General features: G+C 42.2%; 1 protein-coding gene across 19 annotated transcripts in view, besides 1 other annotated feature; it reads left to right on the forward strand.

The window, feature by feature from the left end:
• Window positions 1-22,171, forward strand: part of USP42 (ubiquitin specific peptidase 42) — an 80,324-nt gene that overhangs the window by 24,967 nt on the left and 33,186 nt on the right. For 16 of the 19 annotated variants that reach the window (XM_047420940.1, XM_047420938.1, XM_024446969.2 and 13 more), the window contains 2 exons: window positions 4,918-5,167; window positions 9,116-9,316. In XM_047420940.1, the coding sequence (XP_047276896.1) occupies window positions 4,927-5,167; window positions 9,116-9,316 (442 nt within the window). In that variant the 5' untranslated portion in view covers window positions 4,918-4,926. Of the gene's footprint in view, window positions 1-4,917; window positions 5,168-9,115; window positions 9,317-10,629; window positions 10,733-15,938; window positions 15,994-22,171 lie in introns of those variants that run through there. The other 3 variants (XM_047420943.1, XM_047420944.1, XM_047420945.1) reach the window with 3 other exon arrangements.
• Window positions 38-107: a silencer, noted in NCBI's record as "silent region_17937". NCBI's record gives its function as "represses an Ori minimal core promoter by ATAC-STARR-seq in GM12878 lymphoblastoid cells {active_cell/tissue: GM12878}" and the evidence as "EXISTENCE:reporter gene assay evidence [ECO:0000049][PMID:35858748]".

Genomic DNA, 22,171 nt, shown 5'->3' on the forward strand with positions numbered 1-22,171 from the left:
GTTTGGTTTACTTAAGTATAATTAAGACGAAGGTTTTGTCTTTTTAAAGCGTGTGTGTTTTCTCTTATAACGGAAATGCTATGAGAACGTGGATTACATTGTTTACGAAGAAGCAGAGCGTAACAGTTTCTCTTTAAACGTGCTAATATTATTACCTCAATGTATGCAGAGTGCCACAGTGTCTAAATAGTGAAACTCCACAAATGAAGAAAGAATAATGCATTCTAGCATTTGATAACAAGGGAGACATACCATATAAGAGACTGGGAATTTTAAAGCTTTGAGTAAGACTAGTATTTAAAGCAAAGGAAACACTTGTGAAGTCTCATTCCTCCACACAGATCCAACCTCGATTCATGTTCATGTTGTTTTTTTGAGGCAAGATCTCCCTCTGCTGCCTAGGCTGGAGTGCAGTGGCGCAGTTGTAGCTCACTGTAGCCTCAATCTCCTGAGCTCCAGCAGTCCTCCCACCTCAGCCTCCTAAGTAGGTAGGACTACAGGCACATGCCACCACACCCAGCTAATTTTTTTTTTTTTTCTTAAAGAGACAGGGTCTCACTGTTGCCCAGGCTGGTCTGCAACTCCTGGGCTCAAGCCATCCTGCTGCCTTGGCCTCCCAAAGTGTTGGGATTACAGGCTTGGTCCACCATGCCCCACCTGTAGGTTGTTGTTTTAATGCTCTTGTAACTTTTATATATCATCAGAAGCTGTTGCTTACAAGTTCTGATATTTGTAACAGTAATATTTAGAAGCTTTACTGAAAGTGAGGAACATGCAAGTATATGAATCTTAAGTCCTACATAACATTGTTTAGCTTCAAGAAAGGTTATGTGTGTAGCAGATGGAGTTTAGTTTGATGCCTGATGGTTTTAGGTCAAGACTTCATTGGCTGAATATACAAATGAAGGCGAATGGATAGCTTTGGTTGGTTTTTCCACAGTTACAATGCTGTATGGTTAATGATGACTTGAATTGTGCTTTCGTTAAATTTTTTTTCACTTAAGAGGCTTTTGTCCCTTTTAAAAGGTAATTGGAGCAAATAAAATGGTTTTATTTGGTCATTTGTTAGTGATTGTTCTGAAGGTATGTTTATCCCCTGAAAATTAAGGTTTTTGTTGCTGTTTAGTGTTACTGTAAATAAGGCTGGATTAACCTTTTCTTATATTTCTTACAACTCTATTTGGGCTTTCTTCTTCCTTTTCTTTTTTTTTTTTTTTTTGAGACGGAGTTTCACTCTTACTGCCCAGGCTGGAGGGCAATGGCGCGATCTCGGCTCACCACAACCTCTGCCTCCTGGGTTCAAGGGATTCTCCTGCCTCAGCCTCCCGAGTAGCTGGGATTACAGGCATGCGCCACCACGCCTGGCTAATTTTGTATTTTTAGTAGAGACGGGATTTCTCCATGTTGGTCAGGCTGGTCTTGAACTCCTGATTTCAGGTGATCTGCCCGCCTCGTCCTCCCAAAGTGCTGGGATTACAGGTGTGAGCACCTGCGCCCGGCCTCTTCTTTCTTTTTTTCCTGCATTTTTTTCTTCTGTCCCCACACTGTTTCATAATTTCTTTTAACTATTAGATGAGGAAAAATGTAAACTGTATTTGGAGGATAAGGCTCAAGCTTTCTTCCTGATTGAGGGTCAGCTACCTTTGATTGATTTAAATTTTCAATTCAGTTTTCTTAGTTCATTGAAATTGACAAACATCTTTTCTATTTCTACTTGAGTTCAGAAACTTTAAGATTGTATTTTTTTGGGTGATAATCTTACCCTAGTTAAAAATTACACCAGCCTGGCCAACATAGTGAAACCCGGCTCCACTAAAAATACAAAAATTAGCCGGGTGTGGTGGCACGCACCTGTAGTCCCAGCTACCCTGGAGGCTGAGGCAAGAGAATCACTTGAAGCCAGGAGGTGGAGAAGGTTGCAGTGAGCTGTGACAGCGCCATTGCATTCCAGCCTGGGTGGCAGAGCTAGACTTTGTCTCAAAACATAACAAAACAAACAAACAAAAAAATTACAAGTAACAAAATTGATGCTTTTAAAAAACAAATTTGGCCAGGTTCTGTGGCTCATGCCTGTAATTCCAGCATTTTGGGAGGCAGAGGCAGGAGGATCGTTTGAGGCCAGGAGTTCAAGACCAGCCTGGGCAACGTAGTGAGACCCTGTCTCTACAAAAAAGAAAAACCCCAGAAAGTTATTGTGAGCAGCCAGTTTGGAAAGTACATGGGTATTTTATTATCCCTACTTCATAGCATGGGTAGTACTTTTTTGTACTTTTACAGTATCCTTTTCTTTTAAAGACAGAGTCTCGCTCTGTCGCCAGGCTGGAGTGCAGTGGCGCGATCTCAGCTCACTGCAACCTCCACCTCCCGGGTTCAAGCGATTCTCCTACCTCAGCTTCCCGAGTAGCTGGGATTACAGACACGCACCACCATGCCCAGCTAATTTTTGTATTTTCAGTAGAGACAGGGTTTCACCATGTTGGTCAGGATGGTCTCAATCTCCTGACCTCGTGATCCACCCGCCTTGGCCTCCCAAAGTGCTGGGATTACAGGCGTGAGCCACTGCGCCCAGCCTCAATATTAAAAAAAAAATTTTTTAAGGCCATTTCTACTCCAGAGTTTTTTAAGGATCAAATGATATACTGTATGTTAATCATTCAGCACAAGCTGGTGCTAAAAGCAAACGCTAGTTGTTTTCTGTTCCCAGACTTTGTTCATTAAGTTGTTCTCCACATGTATGGAAAGCTTTCTCTACACCAGGTCAGAGGATGTGAATAAGAACATGGTAGAGAACAGCAAGTAAAACAGCTGTGGAGTAGATGCCAGCACAGTACCGTAGAAATCAGCACAGGGTGCTGTGGGGGCCTTGAGGAGGGGTTTCTAACCCCGTCTTGGGGGAATGGTGATGTCAAGGAAAGTGTCCCAGAGAAAGTAAAGTCTAAACTGAGAAGTGGAAGTGTGAACTGGCTGGAGGTGGAAGGTTGGAAAAGAGTCGGAGAAAAGAACAGCATGTGCAGAGCCCAGAGACAGCAGGGACAAAAGAAAAAAAAACAAGACTTCAGCATGGTGGGAACGTGACGGAGAGGGTGTTTGGCGAGGTTATTAGGTCAGACAATGTGAAGTCCAGACATTAAGATGTTGTGCTGTGGGCAGTTGGGCCACTCCTGAAAGGTGTTCTTTCTTCCTTTCCTTTTCTTTCTTTCTTTTCTTGAGGCAGAGTCTCTCTATGTCAGTCTGGAGTGCAGTGGCATGATCTCGGCTCACTGCAATCTCTGCCTTCCAGGTTCAAGCAATTTTCCTTGCCTCAGCCTCCCAAGTAGCTGGGAATACAGGCGTGCGCCACCATGCCTGGTTAATTTTTTTATTTTTAGTAGAGATGGGGTTTCCCCATGTTGGCCAGGCTGGTCTCGAACTCCTGGACTCAAGTGATCCACCCACTTTGGCCTCCCAAAGTGCTGGGATTACAGGGGTGTGAGCCACTGCGCCCCGCCCGGCCTTTTTTTTTTTTTTTTTTGAGACTTAATCTTGCTCTGTCACCAAGGCTGGATATCAGTGGCACGGTTTTGGCTCTCTGCAACTTCTGTCTCCCAGGTTCAAGCGATTTTCCTGACTCAGCCTCCCAAGTAGTTGAGATTACAGGTACGTGCCACCACGCCCGGCTAATTTTTGTATTTTTAGTAGAGATGAGGTTTCACTATGTTGGCCAGACTGGTCTCAAACGCCTGACCTCAGGTGATTCACCTGCCTCGGCCTCCCAAAATGCTGGGATTACAGGTGTGCACCACCATGCCTGGGTAATTTTTGTTTTTCGTAGAGACAGGGTCTCACCATGTTGGCCAGGCTGGTCTCAAACTCCTGACCTCAAGCGATCTGCCCACCTTGGCCTCCCAAGGTGCTGCAATTATAGGCATGAGCCACCGCGCCCGGCCTCCTGAAAGGTTTTCTACATAGGAGTGGCATGTCTAGATGTGGCTACTGTTGGGCGATTTTAGAAATATCCCTAAAAGCCTTCTGTTGACAGGGTGGCATAACCAGAAGGAAGCCTGGCTGGGAACGCTGGACCTGGCTCTCAGTCCCAGTTGCTGACTGGTTGCTTCATTTTATAGGCCCTGGGGATTCTGTCTGATCTCTCATACGTTCTTTATAAAAATTAAGTTAATGTATGTCCAGCAGTTGATGCAATGCCCAGTACATAGAAAATGCTCAATTAGTGGTAGCCCTAATATTTTAAAATAGGACTCAGAAAGAAAATTATAATCAAGTCCTTTCATAACAGATATTTGTGTTTGAGTTTGATATCAGTAATGGCTTACGGGTTTTATTTAAAAAGTCATACATTCCATATAAATGAGCCTCTTCAGAAAAATGGTTTTAAAGGTGAGATCTCTATAATTATAATTTTAAAAAATATAATGTATTTCACTTGGTGCCATTTGCACTTTAAGCACAAAATTAAGTCTAGATTTTTTCTGTGTAGTTGATGCTTTTCTCTGAGGAATTATACTCAAATTGAAGATGTAGTCAAATGTATTACTGTGTATAATTTTTCTAGTTTTAAGCAGTATAGAAGGAAAATATAGGTACTTAGTAAATAAACAGAACTGAGAATTGAAATGTCCAATTATAAACTGAAATGCCAGACTTTTAGGGGGCATGAAATGAAAATGAGAAGTTCTTTTAATCAAATACTTCACTGAAGATTTTAAAATAAAGATTGTTGACATTCAGATTATCATGATGCTAAATGTCCCAAGGGGATTATTACAGAAATGTTAGAAAGTACTATTGTTTTTATATTTGAGTGATGTGTTTGAAAATCACTTTAAAATGGCTGGAATGATCTTCCAAGATCTAACGGTAGGGTAAGGAGATTGCTTTTCTCACCTGATGAAACAAATACATACTTTTCATCTTTTGCAGAGTTGAACAATGACCATAGTTGACAAAGCTTCTGAATCTTCAGACCCATCAGCCTATCAGAATCAGCCTGGCAGCTCCGAGGCAGTCTCACCTGGAGACATGGATGCAGGTTCTGCCAGCTGGGGTGCTGTGTCTTCATTGAATGATGTGTCAAATCACACACTTTCTTTAGGACCAGTACCTGGTGCTGTAGTTTATTCGAGTTCATCTGTACCTGATAAATCAAAACCATCACCACAAAAGGATCAAGGTACTGTTTTTCAAAAGAGAGAATTACCGCCAGAAACTCCTGTGTAAATGCTGCTGGGGCTTGGTGGTTTCAGAGAGGGGCTTATTTTGCAAGGCGTGAGGCCACCTGAGTGGCCAGCAGAGTTGTATTACTTGATGGGCTTTGTTTTCCTGTTACTTGTTCGTCATTGACTGACAACAGGGTAGATTGTTTTTAGTTGCTAGAATATTATTAGTTTCTTTTATTCCAATTTTTTTTTTTTTTTTTGAGACGGAGTCTCGCTCTGTCACCCAGGCTGGAGTGCAGTGGCGCGATCTTGACTCACTGCAAGCTCTGCCTCCCGGGTTCAGGACATTTTCCTGCCTCAGCCTCCAGAGTAGCTGGGACTACAGGCGCCTGCCACCAAGCCCGGCTAATTTTTTTTTTTTTTTTTGTATTTTTAGTAGAGACGGGGGTTCACCATGTTAGCCAGGATGGTCTCGATCTTCTGACCTCATGATCCACCCACCTCAGCGTCCTGAAGTGCTGGGATTACAGGCATGAACCACCACGCCAGGCCCTTTTATTCCAGTTTTTTTTAAGAATAAACTTTATCTTGGTGAGAATTGAGATGGGCAAGCATTATAATAACTTGTTAACCAGTAGTTATTCTAGTTTCCTAAGTAGATGACTTTTACAAATTTAAAGGTGTTTTGTAAAATGGTTGTCTTTTGACAAATGAGCTTTACCCAGTTTTTTTTGTTTTTGTTTTTGTTTTTTTCCTGGCAGTTAAAAATCATTCGTAGTAATAAAGCTCTTTGAAAGAGAGCAGATAGGCTAGGCATGGTGGCTCCACCTGTTATCCCAGCACTTTGGGAGGCCAAGGCAGGTGGATCACCTGAGGTCAGGAGTTTGAGACCAGTCTGGCTAATATGGTGAAACCCCATCTCCACTAAAAATACAAAAATTAGCTGGGCATGGTGGTGTGTGCCTATAATCCCAGCTACTTGGGAGGCTGAGGCAGGAGAATCGCATGAACCTGGGAGGCAGAGGTTGCAGTGAGCCCAAGATCGCACCATTGCATTTCAGCCTGGGCAACAGAGTGAGACTCTGTCTCAAAAAGAAAAAAGAAAAAAAAAAGAGAGCATGTAACACAAATGTTACATTTGTTATAATGATACAAATGTGGTTACATTCGTTAAAACTCATCCAGATAAATGAGACAGTAACACTTTAAGTTGGTACTTCAAGACTTTTGCATTTGAGGACATGAAGATTTGAAATACAATAGAATTTCCTAGTTAGATTGTTGTTTGGCTTAGAGCATGCAGCCCAGACAGCTTTGAATGCAGCCCAACACAAATCCGTAAACTTTCTTAAAACATTGAGTTTTTTTGAGATTTTTTTTTAAGCTCATTAGCTGTCGTTAGTGTTAGTGTTAGTGTATTTTACGTGTGGCCCAAGACAATTTGTCTTCCAGTGTGGCCCAGGGAAGCCAAAAGATTGGACACCCCCTGGCTTCGAGTAGTTTGATCGCCATGTTGTTTTTGAGTCCTTTAGTAAGTTTCTTTTTTTTTTTTTTTTTTTTTGAGACAGAGTCTCGCTCTGTCGCCCATTCTGGAATGCAGTGGCGCGATCTCGGCTCACTGCAATCTCTGCCTGCTGGGTTCAAGCAATTCTCCTGCCTCAGCCTCCCGAGTAGCTGGGACTACAGGTGCGCGCCACCATGCCCAGCTACATTTTTGTATTTTTAGTAGAGACGGGGTTTCACCATGCTGGCCAGGCTGGTTTCAAACTTATAATCCACCCGCCTCGGCCTCCCAGAGTGCTGGGATTACAGGTGTAGGCCACTGCACCCGGACAACAGTAAGTTTCATATTGTGATGTGGGGGTGGGTGTTGCAGTTTGGCTTGCTGAAGGTGTTTTGGGTAGGGGAAGTTTATATCATGAAACACAACCTAATCGAATGTTGCACATGGAGGTGGAAAGTCCTTTGGCTTCTCTCCAGCAGGACTTTCCCACAGGACCTCTTTCTCCACGGCCTTCAACCTCCTGTCATGTTGCTGGGGCTTCTCTCTCTTCTTAGGACTGAACTCACATCTCCCCACTCTCCCCTTTTCTGGGGCTCTCATCTCATTCTCCACAGAATCCTTTCTTTTGTCCTAATTTTGCTCTCCTTTCCCCACCAAGCTGTAGCCTGCCTACGCCTGCCTAAATAACCACTAATAAGTCTCTTCAGATGGAGAATGATTCTACATGGCATCTCAGCCTTTTGGTTTTTTTTGTTTTTGTTTTTGTTTTTTTTTTGAGACGAAGTCTCTCTCTGTCGCCCAGGCTGGAGAGCAGTGTTGCAATCTCGGCTCACTGCAACCTCCGCCTCCCGGGTTCACACCATTCTCCTGCCTCAGCCTCCTGAGTAGCTGGGACTACAGGTGCCTGCCACCACACCTGGCTAATTTTTTGTATTTTTAGTAGAGACAGGGTTTCACTGTGTTAGCCTGAATAGTCTCGATCTCCTGACCTTGTGATCCGCCCGCCTCGGCCTCCCAAAGTGCTGGGATTACAGGCATGAGCCACTGTGCCCGACCCAATCTCAGCCTTCTGTTAGAGCACTGGGGGACTGCCAAAGCCTTTGAAAAATTAGTCTTGCCATTGATGATTTTCAGCTTTCCTAAATAAGTTGTTTCTTGAGCTTCATCTTGAGTTCCATTATCATACTTAGTTATTAGTAATCTGTTGATAATCTTCAAAATTTTTAGGTCATAGGTAGTCTCCTCACAAGTGTGTACAGTGGTACCTGATAGCCTGAGTTCAAAACCTGCTTCCTTAGTGGTAAAATGGGAATGACATCAGCACCAGCCATTAGAATTGCAGCCATTTGGCCTAGTAAGGGCTCCCTACATGAGATGGTAAGGACGGCAGTGATGGTGGCAATGAATTAGCATCCATGGCAGATGTTACAAGGAATCAAATGTATCTCATTTTTTCTATTGATTGTATTATTTATTTTTTAAATGTTCAAAGTGGATATAAAAGAGTAATTATAATGAACTCTCATGTAGCCGTCAACCAACTTTGACATTTATCAACTTACGGGCAGTGATACCAGCACCTCCTTATCTCCCCACGACATTATCTCAAATCCAATACTTCATCTTTCACTTGTATTTTAGTGTATACATCTAAAGAGTTTTTTCTAAAAATCAAAAATGTATTTACATGAAACAGTCATTCAGTGTTCATATTTCTCTGGTTGTTGTTTTATGTATATATAAAATATATATACATAAAATACGTGTGTGTGTATATATGTATGTGTGTGTGTATATATATATATATATATATATTTTTTTTTTTTTTTTTTTTTTTTTTTTGAGACGGAGTCTCTCGCTCTGTCTCCCAGGCTGGAGTGCAGTGGCACTATCTCAGCTCACTGCAAGCTCTGCCTCCCGGGTTCACGCCATTCTCCTGTCTTAGCCTCCCTAGTAGCTAGGACTACAGGTGCCCGTCACCGCGCCTGGCTAATTTTTTGTATTTTTAGTAGAGACGGGGTTTCACCTTGTTAGCCAGGATGGTCTCGATCTCCTGACCTCATAATCCGCCTGCCTCAGCCTCCCAAAGTGCTGGGATTATAGGCGTGAGCCACTGTGCCCGGCCCTATATATATATTTTTTTAAGCAGTTGTTCAGAGCAGCATCCAAATGAAGTCTACACTTTGCATTTGGTAGATATTTCTCTCAAGTTTCTTTAAATCTGTAACCCTCTCCCCTTTCTGTCCTTGCAGTTTGTTTACTGGAGAAACCAGATCATTGAAAATTTCTCATGTTCTGGTTTCTGTCTTTTAAAATGTCCCTCTTCCCCCTGTATTTCAGGTAGGCTGGTCATGAGATTTCGGATCTTGTAAAGATTGAGGTTTGACCAGGTGTTACTATTTATTTAGCTTCAGTATGCAAAGCTTGGTTTCTGACTCTTTCTTGTTTATTTTTCTAGCCCTAGGTGATGGCATCGCTCCTCCACAGAAAGTTCTTTTCCCATCTGAGAAGATTTGTCTTAAGTGGCAACAAACTCATAGAGTTGGAGCTGGGCTCCAGAATTTGGGCAATACCTGTTTTGCCAATGCAGCACTGCAGTGTTTAACCTACACACCACCTCTTGCCAATTACATGCTATCACATGAACACTCCAAAACATGTAAGTGTTCCGTGTTGTGTTTGTAGTATTGTAGTGCGCTAACCTACTTTCATTTTTTCCTCTGAAATGAAAGTGAAGAATTAATCCAAGAGTGCTATGATTACTAAGAAGTTGGTTTATTCTTTTAGAAACCAAGGAGGAGGACTCAGGATTGGGATTCAGGTTGCATGAAAAACATTTTGCACCTAATTAGACCTGTGAAGGTATTTAAAAAGAAACATTTTATCAGCTTTTGGCATTTCTGAACTCCTTGTTGGTTTTCTACACTTACTAAAAAAATGTGACAGAAATATCTGACATTAGCTGGGCTCACACCTGTAATCCCAGCACTTTGAGAGACCGAGGAGAAAGGATCACTCGAGCCCAAGAGTTGGAGACCAACCTGGACAACATAGTAAGACCCCATCTCTACTAAAAATAAAAATAAAAATTAGTCTAGCATGGCAGCACACACCTCTAGTCCCAGCATACTCAGGAGGGTGAGACAGGAAGGTCACCTGAGTCTGGAAGGTTGAGACTGCAGTGAGCTGTGATCGCACTGCTGTACTTCAGCCTAGACAACAGAAAGAGACCCTGTCTCAAAAAAAAAAAAAAAAAACGTCTGATGCCAGCAACTTGGGACAGGCGAGGTTAAGAAATCCTGCCTCTCCTGGCATTTATATCATGTTGGAAGGCTCAATCATTTACATGCTTATAAGCCTTAGAGGAGAGGGACTCTCTTGTCACTGCCCGCAACCTCCTGGAATTCAGACTAGACTTTCCCTTTAGCATTTGAGAACTTCATCTTCAACCTACATGGCAGGAAATCAGTTAAAGCTTATTAAAATGTCTTTAATTAGATGGAAGCCAACTCAGTGGTTGACTATCAACCTTCAGAATTTGGAACATCCGTTTTTGAGGTTTTGGCCTTCTCCATATGTTGTAAATATCCTTCATTCTTTATAAATGCAGTCTCCCTGTTCTTTGATCTAAATTAATGGCTCAGATTCATGTGTGTATGTTCTGGGGCTATTAGTTACTAGGATTTAAAAAAAAAAATCCTTGGTTTCTTTTTGAATAGTTCTTTACTTAATGGAGAATTTAAATTGGTTCTTTTAAAACTGATTTTTTTTTCCCTCCAAAGAGCCAAGTAATGCTTGTAAAGAATTTGGAAAGTACAGAAAAACTTAAAGAAACCAAAGAAAAATCACCTAGAATCTCACCACCTACCTAGGGGTGTTTGTTATGCCAGAATTAACGTTCTGTTTGCCCTCATTTTCTCCCTTTCTCAGTCCATAATTCATTCCCCACAGACAGCTTTCCTATCACTTTTGCGCTTAATGAAAGTAGGGTGTGGATGAAAACCCAGCACTAGCACCTGGACAGCAAGAGAGAGGACCAAGACAAAATTCAGAAGCTCCCGATGTCCAGAATTAGGTGCCTATCTTTTATGCTACTGGTAGTTTTTGTGCTTGCTTCCTCCCTCCCTCCCTTCCTCCCTCTCTTTCTCTCTCTCTTTTCCCAGCTTTACTGAAGTATAATTGATATATACCAAATTACACATATTTAAAATACATAATTTGATGCATTTTGACATTTGTATACACCCGTGGAACTAGCATCAAGATTAAGATAATGAACATGTTCATCACCCTCAAAAGTTCCCCGATGCCCCTTTGAAATCACCCTTTCCATCCTTTCCCCACCCTCCTGCCCGGCAACCACTGATCTGCTTTCCGTCACTATAGATGAATTAGTTTAGATTTTCTAGAGTGTTGCTTATGTGGAATTGTACAGTATATATTCTCATATTATCTCGCTTCTTTCACTCAGCATAATCCTGTCAACATTATTCCATTTGTGCCATGTAGCATCACTTGATCGTATTGTTGAGTAGGATTCCATTTTATGGCTAGATCACAATTTGTTTCTCCATTTGTCTATTGATGGGCATCTGGGTCATTTTTCACTTTGTGCCGTTACAAATTAAGCTGCTATGAACATTAGCAAACAAGCCTTTGTTAGGACATGTTTTCATTTCTCTTAGGTAAATATCTAGGAGTAAAATGGCTTGGTCCTGGGGTGGGTGTGTACTTTAACATTTTAAGAGACTTCCAGACTTTCCAGAAGGGATTGCAGTGTTTTATAGTCCCACCACTGGTGAATGAATCTTCCATTTGCTCCACATCCTTCCCAATACTTGGTGGGGTCAGTCTTCTTCAGTTTTAGCCATCTCCATAGGTGTGTAGTGTGGTAGTATTTTGTTGTGGTTTTAATTTGTACTTTCATAATGAATAATGCTGAACCTCTTTTCTTTTTTGTTTTGTTTTTGTTTTGAACATCTTTTCATGTGGTTATTTGCCATCCGTATATTTCCTTTGCTAAAATGCCTGTTGAAATCTTTTGCCCGTTTGAAAACTGGTAGTTTTCTTATTGTTGAGCTTAGAGAGTTCTTTATATATCCTCGATATAAGTCTTTTATTATGTAGGCTGGGATTTGTCTTTTGATTCTTTTCAGTGTCTTTTAAAGAGTGCATTTTTTGTTTTGGGAAATTTCATTTCTTTTTTTTTCTTTTTATTCGTTGTGCTGTAGGTGTTTTAAGAAATCTTGGCTGGGTATGTGGCTCATGCCTGTAATCCCAGCACTTTGGGAGAACGAGGCAGGTAGATCACTTGAGCCCAGGATTTCAAGACTAGCCTGGGCAACGTAGGGAGAACTCATCTCTATATATAAAAAAAATCAAAAATTAGGCCAGGTGTGGTGGTTCATGTGTTTTGGGAGGCTGAGGCGGGTGGCTCACTTGAGTTCAGTAGTTTGAGACCAGTTTGGGCAACATGGTGAAACCCTGTCTCTATAAAAAATACAAAAATTATCTGGGCTTGGCGGTGTGCGCCTATAGTCCCAGCTACTTGGGAGACTGAGGTGGGAGGATCACATGAGCCCAGGAGGTTGAGGCTGCAGTGAGCCATGATTGTGCCACTTTATTCCAGTCTGGGTGACAGTAAGACCATGTCTCAAGGAAAAAAGAAAAGACAAGAAAAAAAAAAAACTTTGCCTACCTACAGGTCACAAATATTTTTCCTATACTTTCTTCTAGAAGTCTTAAAGTTTTAGCTTTTGTTTTTGGGTCAGTGGTCCATTTTGAGTTAATTTTTGTTTGTGATGTGAAGATGGAGCAAGTTTATTTTTTTGCATATGGATGTTCGGTTGTTCTAGCACCATTTGTTGGAAACATAATCCTTTTGTCACTAAATTGTCTTTGCACCTTTATCAAAAATCAGGTGATTGAAGCACTTTAGACAGAAGAAAAAAAATCAGTAAGCCATATCAATACGATCTATTTCTGGACTCTATTATGTTGTACTGATCACTTGTTTGTCTTGACACCGTAACACAATGTTTTGATTACTATATATTTTAAAGTTTTGTGGCCAACTGCAGTGGCTCATGTCTGTAATCTCAGTGTTTTGGGAGGCTGAGGCAGGAGGACTGTTTGAACCCAGGAGTTTGAGACCAGCCTGGGCAACATGTCAAGACCCTGTCTCTCCAAAAAAAAAAAAAATTAGCTGCATCTGGGAACTCATGCCTATAGTCCTAGTTACTTCGGAGGCTGAGGCAGGAGGATTGCTTGAGCCTGGGAGTTTGAGGCTGCCGTGAGCTATGATTGCACCACTGTATTACAGCCTGAGTGATAGAGTGAGATGCTGTCTCAAAAAAAAAGTTTTGGAACCAGGTAAGTCCTCCAACTTTGTTCTTTCTCCGAGTTATGCTGTAGCCTGGGCAACATTGTGAGACCTCGTCTTTACAAAAAATAAAAAAAATTCTCTGGGTGTGGCGGCAAGCGCTAGTCCTGGCTACTTGGGAGACTGAGGTGAGAGGCTCGCTTCAGCTCAGGAGGTGGTGACTGCAGTGAGCCATTATTGTGCAGGTACGCTGCAGCCTGGGCAGCAGAGTGAGATCTTACGTCAACCAAAATAAAAAAGTTGTTCTGGCTCTTCATGGTTGCTTGGCCATTTGTATTTTCAAATGAATTTTAGAATCACTTTGTGAATTTCTACAAATAATCTTCCTGGTATTTTGATTGGGACTGTGCTGAATATTTAAATCAATTTGATGTGAATTGACACCTAAACAGTATTATTTTCTGACTCACAAGCAAGGTATACCTATTCATTTAGGCCTTGTTTTTTGTTGTTGTTGTTGTTTTGTTTTTTTTTAGTGACATTCTTGCTCTGTTGCCCAGGCTAGAGTACAGTGGTGCACAGTCAGAGCTCACTGCAGCCTTGACCTCCTTGGCTCAAGGGATCCCCTTGCCTCAGCCTCATGAATAGCCAGGACTACAGGCATGTGCTACAACACCTAGCTAATTTTTTGTTTTTTTGTAGAGACAGTCTCACCATGTTGCCCAGGCTGGTCTTGAACTCCTACGCTTAAGCGGTTCTCTTGCCTCAGCCTTTTTTTGTTTTTGTTTTTGTTTTTTGAGACGGAGTCTCGCTCTGCCGCCCGGGCTGGAGTGCAGTGGCGCTGTCTCGGCTCACTGCAACCTACGCCCCCGGGTTCACGCCATTCTTCTGCCTCAGCTTCCTGAGTGGTTGGGACTACAGGTGCCTGCCACCACGCCGGCTAATTTTTTTGTATTTTTAGTAGAGATGGGGTTTCACTGTGTTAGCCAGGATGGTCTTGATCTCCTGACCTCATGATCTGCCTGCCTCGGCCTCTCAGAGTGTTGGGATTACAGGCGTGAGCCACTGCGCCCGGCCCTTTTTATTTGCTCTGTCACTCCAGGTAGAGTGCAGTGCCACTATCTCCACTCACTGTAACCTCCACCTCTTCGGTTTAAGTGATTCTCCTGCCTCAGCCTCCCAGGTAACTGGGATTACAGGCACGCACCATCACTTCTAGCTAATTTTTGTATTTTTAGTAGAGATGGGGTTTCACAGTGTTGGCCAGGCTGGTCTCAAACTCCTGACCTCAAGTGATCTGCCCGACTCGGCCTCCCAAAGTGCTGGGATTACAGGCATGAGACACTGTGCCCAGCCTCTTGCCTCAGCCTTTCAAAGTGTTGGGATTTCAGGCATGAGCCACTATGCCTGGCCTAGGCCATCTTTAGTTTCTCGTTGCCCAGGCTGGAGTGCAGTGGCACAATCTCGGCTCACTGCACCCTCTGCCTTCTGGGTTCAAGCAATTCTTCTGCTTCAGCCTCATGGGTAGCTGAGATTACAGGTGCCCACCATCATGCCCGGCTAATTTTTGTATTTTTAGTAGAGATGGGGTTTCACCCTGTTGGCCAAGCTGGTCTCGAACTCCTGGCCTCAAATGATCCACCTGCCTCGGCCTCCCAAAGTGCTGGGATTACAGGGGTGAGCCACTGCACCCGGCTGGAATAAATATTTTCATTAACTATTACAAAGGGTATTTTATTTTTAAAATTTCAACTTACTGATTGTTTATTGCTAGCATATAGAAATACATTTTTCAGATTTTGATCTTATATCTTGGAACCTTAAGTCACTTATTAATTCTAGTAGGTTTTTTTTTTTAAGATCCCTTAAGATTTTATAGACGCAACTATGTGATACGTGAATAAAGATAATTTTACTTCTCCATTTCCAGTCTGTGTAGGTTCTTTATTAATTTTTCTTGCTGTTTTTTTCTAGTAAAGAGACCTCCATTACATTGTTAAATAGAGGTGATAAGAGTAAAAATCCATGTCTCTTTCTCAGCCTTAGAGGAAAAGCATTCAGTCTTTTACCATTAAGTATGGTGTTGTAGGTTTTTCATAGATGCCTTTTACCAGGTTGAGTTGTTTGATGCTTGAATGTTAAACCAACCTTGCATTCCTGAGATGACTCACACTTGGTCATGATGCATTATTCTATGTATTACTGGCTTTGATTTGCTAAAATTGTAAAACAGTTTTGTCTTCGTAAGTATTATTAGCCTATAGTTTCTTATAATGCCTTTTTTTTTTCTTGTTTTGGCATTAGGGTAATGTTGGCATCATGGCATGTGTTGGGATATGTTTTCTTCGCATCTGTTTCCTGGAAGAGTTTGTACAGAATTGATGTTATTTCTTCTTTAAATGTTTGCTAGATTTCAGCAGTGAAGCCATCTGGACCTTGCAGTTTCTCATGGGCAGGTTTTAAACTACATTCTTCTTTTCTTTGTTTTGTTTTTAGAAGACAGGATCTTGCTCTTTTGCCCAGGCTGGAGTACAGTGGCAAGATCATACCTCACTGCAGCCTCCACCTCCTGGGCTCAAGCAGTGCTCCCACCTCAGCTTCCTGAGTAGCTAGAGGTGTGCATCACCACACACAGCTAATTTTTAAATTATTTTTGTAGAGACGAGGTCTCACTATGTTGCCCAGGGTAGTCTTGAACTCCTGGCTTCAAATGATCCTCCCCGCTTGGCCTCCAAAAGTGCTAGGATTATACCACCATACCCAGCTTTCTGTCTCCTTTTTCGTTTGATCAATCTGACCAGAAGTTTTTTAATGTTACTGATCTTCTCAAAGAACGAGCTCTTGGTTTCATTGTTACAGTTTTCTGTTTCATTACAGTTTTGTGTTTTATTGATGTTTGTTGTTATTGTCATTATTCCATTTCTTCTGCTTACTTTGGATTTAATGTGCTCTGTTCCAGTGTCTTAAGGTGGAGTCTTAGGTCATTTGATTTGAGATCTTTCTTCTTTTCCAATGTAAGTGTCAAATGCTATAAATTTCCCTATGAGTGGTACTTTAGTTGTATCCCAGATATGTTGATATGTCATGTGTCAGTTTTTTTTTTTTTTTTTTTAAAGACAGGGTCTCACTCACTCTGTTGCCTAGGCTGGAGTGCAGTGGTGTCATCATAGCTCACTGCACCCTCAACCTTCTGGGTTCAAGTGATCTTCCCACCTCACCTTCCCAAGTAGCTGAGACTACAGACATGCACCACCATGCCTTTTGTTTTGTTTTGTTTTTTTGTTTGTTTGTTTGTTTGTTTTGAGACAGAGTCTTGCTCTGTTGCCACGCTGGAGTGCAGTAGTGTGATCTCGGCTCAACTGCAACCTGCGCCTCATGGGTTCAAGCGATTCTCCTGCCTCGGCCTCCTGAGTAGCTGGGATTACAGGCACATGCCACCACACCCAGCTAATTTTTATATTTTTAGTAGAGATGGGGTTTCAACATGTTGGCCAGGATGGTCTCTTATCTCCTGGCCTTGTGATCCACCCGCCTCAGCCTCCCAAAGTGCTGGGATTACAGGCGTGAGTCACTGTGTCCAGCCTAATTTTTTTTTTAAATAGAGATAGGGTCTCACTAAGTTGCTCAGGCTCATCTCAAACTCCTGGCTTCAAGACAGTTGTCTTGAACTGCTGGCGCCCAGGCTAGAGTGCAGTGGTATGATCTTGGTTCGCCGCAGCCTCCACCTTTCAAGTTCAAGTGATTCTCATACCTCAGCCTCCTGAGCAGCTGGGATTACAGGCATGCGCCACCACACCTGACTGATTTTTGTATTTTTTAGTAGTGATGGGGTTTCGCCCGTGTTGGCTAGGCTGGTCTCAAACTCCTGACCTCAGGTGATCCACCTGCCTCGGCCTCCCAAAGTGCTGGGATTATAGGTCTGAGCCACTGCACCTGGCCTGTTATGCCCTCTTGATGAACTCATTTCGTTACCATTTATGAAATGACCCTCTTCATCCCAAATAATATTCTTTGCTCTGAAATCTACTTCATCTGAGATAAATTTAGCCACCCCAAGCTGGGCATGATGGCTCATGCCTGTAATCCCAACACTTTGGGAGGCTGAGGCAGGAGGATGGGTTAAGCTAGGAGTTCTAGACCAGCCTGAGCTACATAGTGAGACCCTCTCTGTATAATATAAAATATTAAAAAATTGGGCTGGGTGCGGTGGCTCACGCCTGTAATCCCAGCACTTTGGGAGGCCAAGGCGAGCAGATCACGAGCTCAGGAGATCGAGACCATCCTGGCTAACACGGTGAAACCCCGTCTCTACTAAAAATACAAATATTAGCCAGGCGAGGTGGCGGGCGCCTGTAGTCCCAGCTACTCGGGAGGCTGAGGCAGGAGAATGGCATAAACCCCGGGAGGCAGAGCCTGCAGTGAGCCGAGATCGCGCCACTGCACTCCAGCCTGGGCGACAGCGAGACTCCATCTCAAAAAATAAAAAATAAATAAAAATAAAATATTAAAAAATTAGCTAGGCGTGGTGGTGTTCTTCTATAGTCTTAGCTACTCGGGAGGCCGAGGTAGGAGAATCACTTGAGCCAGGGAGTTGAAGGATTATGCCACTGTACTCCAACCAGGGCAACGAAAGGAGACCCTGTCTCAAAAAAAAAAAAAAAAAAAGCCACTCCAGTTTTCTTTTTCGTATCGTTTCTCTTTTTTTTTGAGGTGGAGTCTCACTTTGTCACCTATGCTGGAGTGCACTGGCATGATCTTGGCTCACTGGAAACTCTGCCTCCTGGGTTCAACTCTGCCTCCTGCCTCGGTCTCCTAAGTAGCTGGGATTACAGACATGCGCCGCCGTGCCCGGCTAACTTTTGTATTTTTAGTAGTGATGGGGTTTCACCATGTTGGCCAGGCTGGTCTTGAAATCTTAACCTCAGGTCATCTGCCTGCCTCAGTCTCCCTAAGTGCTGGGATTACAGGCGTGAGCTACCATGCCCAGCCCACTCCAGTTTTCTTATGATTCATGTTAGCATGATATATTTTTTCCATCTTTTTATCTTTAACTTATTTTTGTCTGTATATTTAAAGTAGATTCCCTTTTTTCTTTTTTTGAGACGGATTCTCGCTCTGTCACCCAGGCTGGAGTGCAGTGGCGCGATCTCGGCTCACTGCAACCTTCACTTCCCAGGTTCAAGTGATTCTTCTGCCTCAGCCTCCCATGTAGCTGGGACTACGGGTGCACCACCACACCCGGCTAATTTTTGTATTTTTAGTAGAGATGGGGTTTCACCATATTGGCCAGGCTGGTCTCAAACTCCTGACCTCGTGATCTGCCTGCCTCGGCCTCCCAAAGTGCTGGGATTACAGGAGTGAGCCCCCGTGCCCAGCTTTAAAGTGGATTTCTTATAAATAGCTTATTAATTTGATCTTGCTTTTTATCCAATAGTAGCCTCTGCCTTTTATTTTGAGGCATTATACCTTTTACATTTAATGAGATTATTGGTATGAATGGGTTTAAATCTACCATCTTGCTATTTTTTTTCCTATTTGTCCCATTTATTCTTGGTTGTCTTTTAAAATCTTTTTCCTGCCTTCTTTTGGATTGATATATGATTTTATTTAATCTGCTTCATTGGCATATTTTTGATATTTTTTTTCATGGTGGTTACTTTAGGTTATATCTTTAACGTATCAGTTTACCTTCAAATAACATTCCACTTCTCAGGCCGGTGCCAGTGGCTCATGCCTGTAGTCTCAGCACTTTGGGAGGCTGAGGTGGGCAGATCACTTGTGGTCAGGAATTCGAGACCAGCCTGGCCAATATAGCAAAACCCCGTCTCTACTGAAAATACAAAAATTAGCCGGGTGTGGTGGCTCATGCTTGTAATTCCAGTTATTCAGGAGGCTGAGGCAGGAGAATCGCTTGATCCCGGGAGTTGGAGGTTTCAGTGAGCCGAGATTGCACCACTGCACTCCAGCCTGGGCAACAGAGCGAGACTCTGTCTCAACAAAAAAAAAAAAAAAAAAAAACAGGCAGGATGCAGTGGCTCATGCCTGTAATCCCAGCACTTTGAGAGGCTGAGGCTGGAGGATCACCTGAGGATGGGAGTTTGAGACCAGCCTGGTCAATATGGTGAAACTTTGTCTCTACTAAAAATACAAAAAATTAGCCTGACATGGTGGCAGATGCCTGTAATCTCAGCTACTTCGGAGACTGAGGTGGGAGAATCGCTTGAACCTTGGAAGCGGGGGTTGCAGTGAGCCAAGAACACACCACTGCACTCCAGCCTAGGCAACAAGAGCGAAACTCTGTCACAAAACAAAACACAACAATATTCTGCTTCTCGTGAAGTATAAGAACATTTTGGTAATATACTCCATCTTTCCTTTCCCATCTTTGTGCTATTGTTGTCATGCGTTGTTGTATTATTTTTTTCTTTAAATTCATTTTAAAAGTTTTGTTTTAGATAGTTTAAAGCTTTTAAGAAATCATTTCTGTTTACCTACTTGTTTACTGTTTTCACTGCTTTTCATTCCTTTTTATGTATTCAGATTTCCATTTGGTATTTTTCCTTACTTTTGTTTTGTTTTGTTTTTTGATGCTCAGGGGTTGTTTATTTTACTTTGTTGTTGATTTTAGTTTTTGTTTTTTTTTTGGTTTGAAATGTCTTTATTTTGCTTTTTTTAAAAAACTCAACTTTTTATTTGTGGTAACTAGATTCACATGCACTTGTAAGAAATAATATAGAGAAATCCCATGTACCCTTACTGAACCTCCCCCAGTGATAACACTGTAATGGAATATCACAAGCACAGTAGTGACATTGATATAGTCAAGATACAGAGCATTTCCATCACCTACAGAACCCAGCATGTTTCCCTTTCCAAGCCCACTTGTGTCCCTGCCTTCCCCTTAACCTCTGGTGACCACTGATTCTCCATTTCTATGATTTTGTCATTTCAACAGTGTTACGTGAATTATATAGTATGTAACCTTTTGGAATTGGCTTTTTCACCTAGCATAATTCTCTCAAGATTGATCCAGGTCGTTGCATGTATTAATAATTCTTTCATTGGTAGGTAGTATTTCATGGTATGGATACGCCACAGTTTCTTTTTTTTTTTTTTGAGAGGAAGTCTTGCTCTGTTGTCCAGGCTGGAGTGCAGTGGCACGATCTCAGCTCACTGCAGGCTTCGCCTCCTGGCTTCACGCCATTCTCCTGCCTCAGCCTCCCGAGTAGCTGGGACTACAGGTGCCCACCACCACGCCTGGCTAATTTTTTTTGTATTTTTAGTAGAGACGGGTTTCACCGTGTTAGCCAGGATGGTCTCTATCTCCTGACCTCGTGATCTGCCCGCCTCAGCCTCCCAAAGTGCTGGGATTACAGGCATGAGCCACTGTGCCGGCCTGATAACGCCACAGTTTCTTTAACTACTTTTCCATTAAAGGATATCCGGTTGTTTCTAGTTTTGGGATATCGTGAGTGGAGCTGCGGTAAACACATCTAGGTTGTTTCTAGTTTTGGGATATCGTGAGTAGAGCTGCAGTAAACACATCCGGGTTGTTTCTGGTTTTGGGGGATTGTGAGTGGAGCTGCGGTAAACATCCAGGTTGTTACTAGTTTTGGGATATGGTGAGTGGAGCTGCTATAAACGTGAGTGTATATAGCTCTTTTTGTCAGCATGTCTTCATTTCTCTGGGATAAATGCCCAGGACTGCAAATGCTGGGTTATATGGTAGTTGCATATTTGATTTTATAAGAAACTGCCAAAGCAATATATGAGAGTTCCAGCTTCCTTGCATCTTTGCCAACATTTGCTGTTGTCACTAGTGTTCATTTTACCTGTACTGATAGGTGTGTAGTGGTAACTCAGTGTGGCTTTCATTTGCATTTCCCTAATGCTTAAAGGTATTGAACATCTTTTCATGTGCTTATTTGCCATCTGTTTGTGTTCTTTGGTGAAACGTGCCTGTATCTTTCCCTCATTTTCTATCATGTTCTTTGTTGTTGTACTGTCAAGTTTTGAGGATATGTGGTTTCCAAATGTTTTCTCCCCATCTGTAGCATGTCTTCATCCACTTAGTGGTTGTTTTACAGACAGAGGTTTTTAATTTTGGTGAAGTTCAATTGGTCAGCCTTTAGTGGATTGTGCTTTTAGTGTCAAGTTTAATATCTCTTTGCCTAGCTCTTGATCCTGCAGATTTTTTCCTATGTTAATTTTTTCCTGTAAGTTGTATTGTTTAATGTGTTACATTTAAGTCTGTGATCCATTTTGAGTTTTTTTTTTTAGAAACTGAGATTTGAGCTGAGTTTTTTTGTCTGGATGTCATTTGCTCCAGCGTCATTTTCTTGAAGAAGCTGTCTTTGTTGAATTGCTTTTGTATCTTTGTAATTAAAAAAAATTATTTGGGCATATTTGTGTGTCTGTCTCCAGGTTTCTGTTCTGTTGTGATGATGTATGTGTCCACCACTCTACACAAGTCCTTGTTACTGTAGTTATGTAGTAAGTCTTGTCATCGGTTAGAATGATTCCTTCCACTTTATTCTTCACAATAGTTTCGGCTATTCTAGTTACATTGCTTTTCGTTACAAATTATAAAATAATCTATATAAAATATTTTGCTGGGATTTTGATAGGAAGTACACTAAACTTGTGTCTTAATTTGGGGGGATTAACATCTTTACTATGTCCCTGAAGTCTGCTTTACTCTTTATTAATGTAACCATTCCTGCTTTTTTTGTTGTTGTTGGTTTCTTTGTTTTTGAGACAGAATCTTGTTCTGTGACCCAGGCTTTGTGCATTGGTGTGATCATAGCTCACTGCATCCTCAAAATCCTCAAAATCCTACATCATCAAAATTTTGGTCTCAAGCTATCCTCCTGCCTCAGCCTTCCTGCTAGCTTTGGACTACAGGCGTGTCCCACCATGACCAGCTAATTTTTTTATTTTTACTTTTGTAGAGATTTGGTCTCGCTGTGTTACCCAGGCTGGTCTCGAACTCCTAGCCTCAAGTGATCCTCCTGCCTTGGCCTCTGAAAGTGTTGGAATTACAGGTGTGAGCCACTGTGCCTGGCCCTGCTTTTTTTTTTTTTTTTTCCTCCTTGAGATGAGGTCTCACTCTGTCACCTGGTCTGGAGTGCAGTGGTGCGATCATGGCTCACTGCACCCTCCAACTCCTGGGCTCTAGGAATCCTCCATCTC

Source organism: Homo sapiens, chromosome 7 (assembly GCF_000001405.40).
Source record: "Homo sapiens chromosome 7, GRCh38.p14 Primary Assembly".
Classification (NCBI taxonomy): Eukaryota; Metazoa; Chordata; class Mammalia; order Primates; family Hominidae; genus Homo; species Homo sapiens.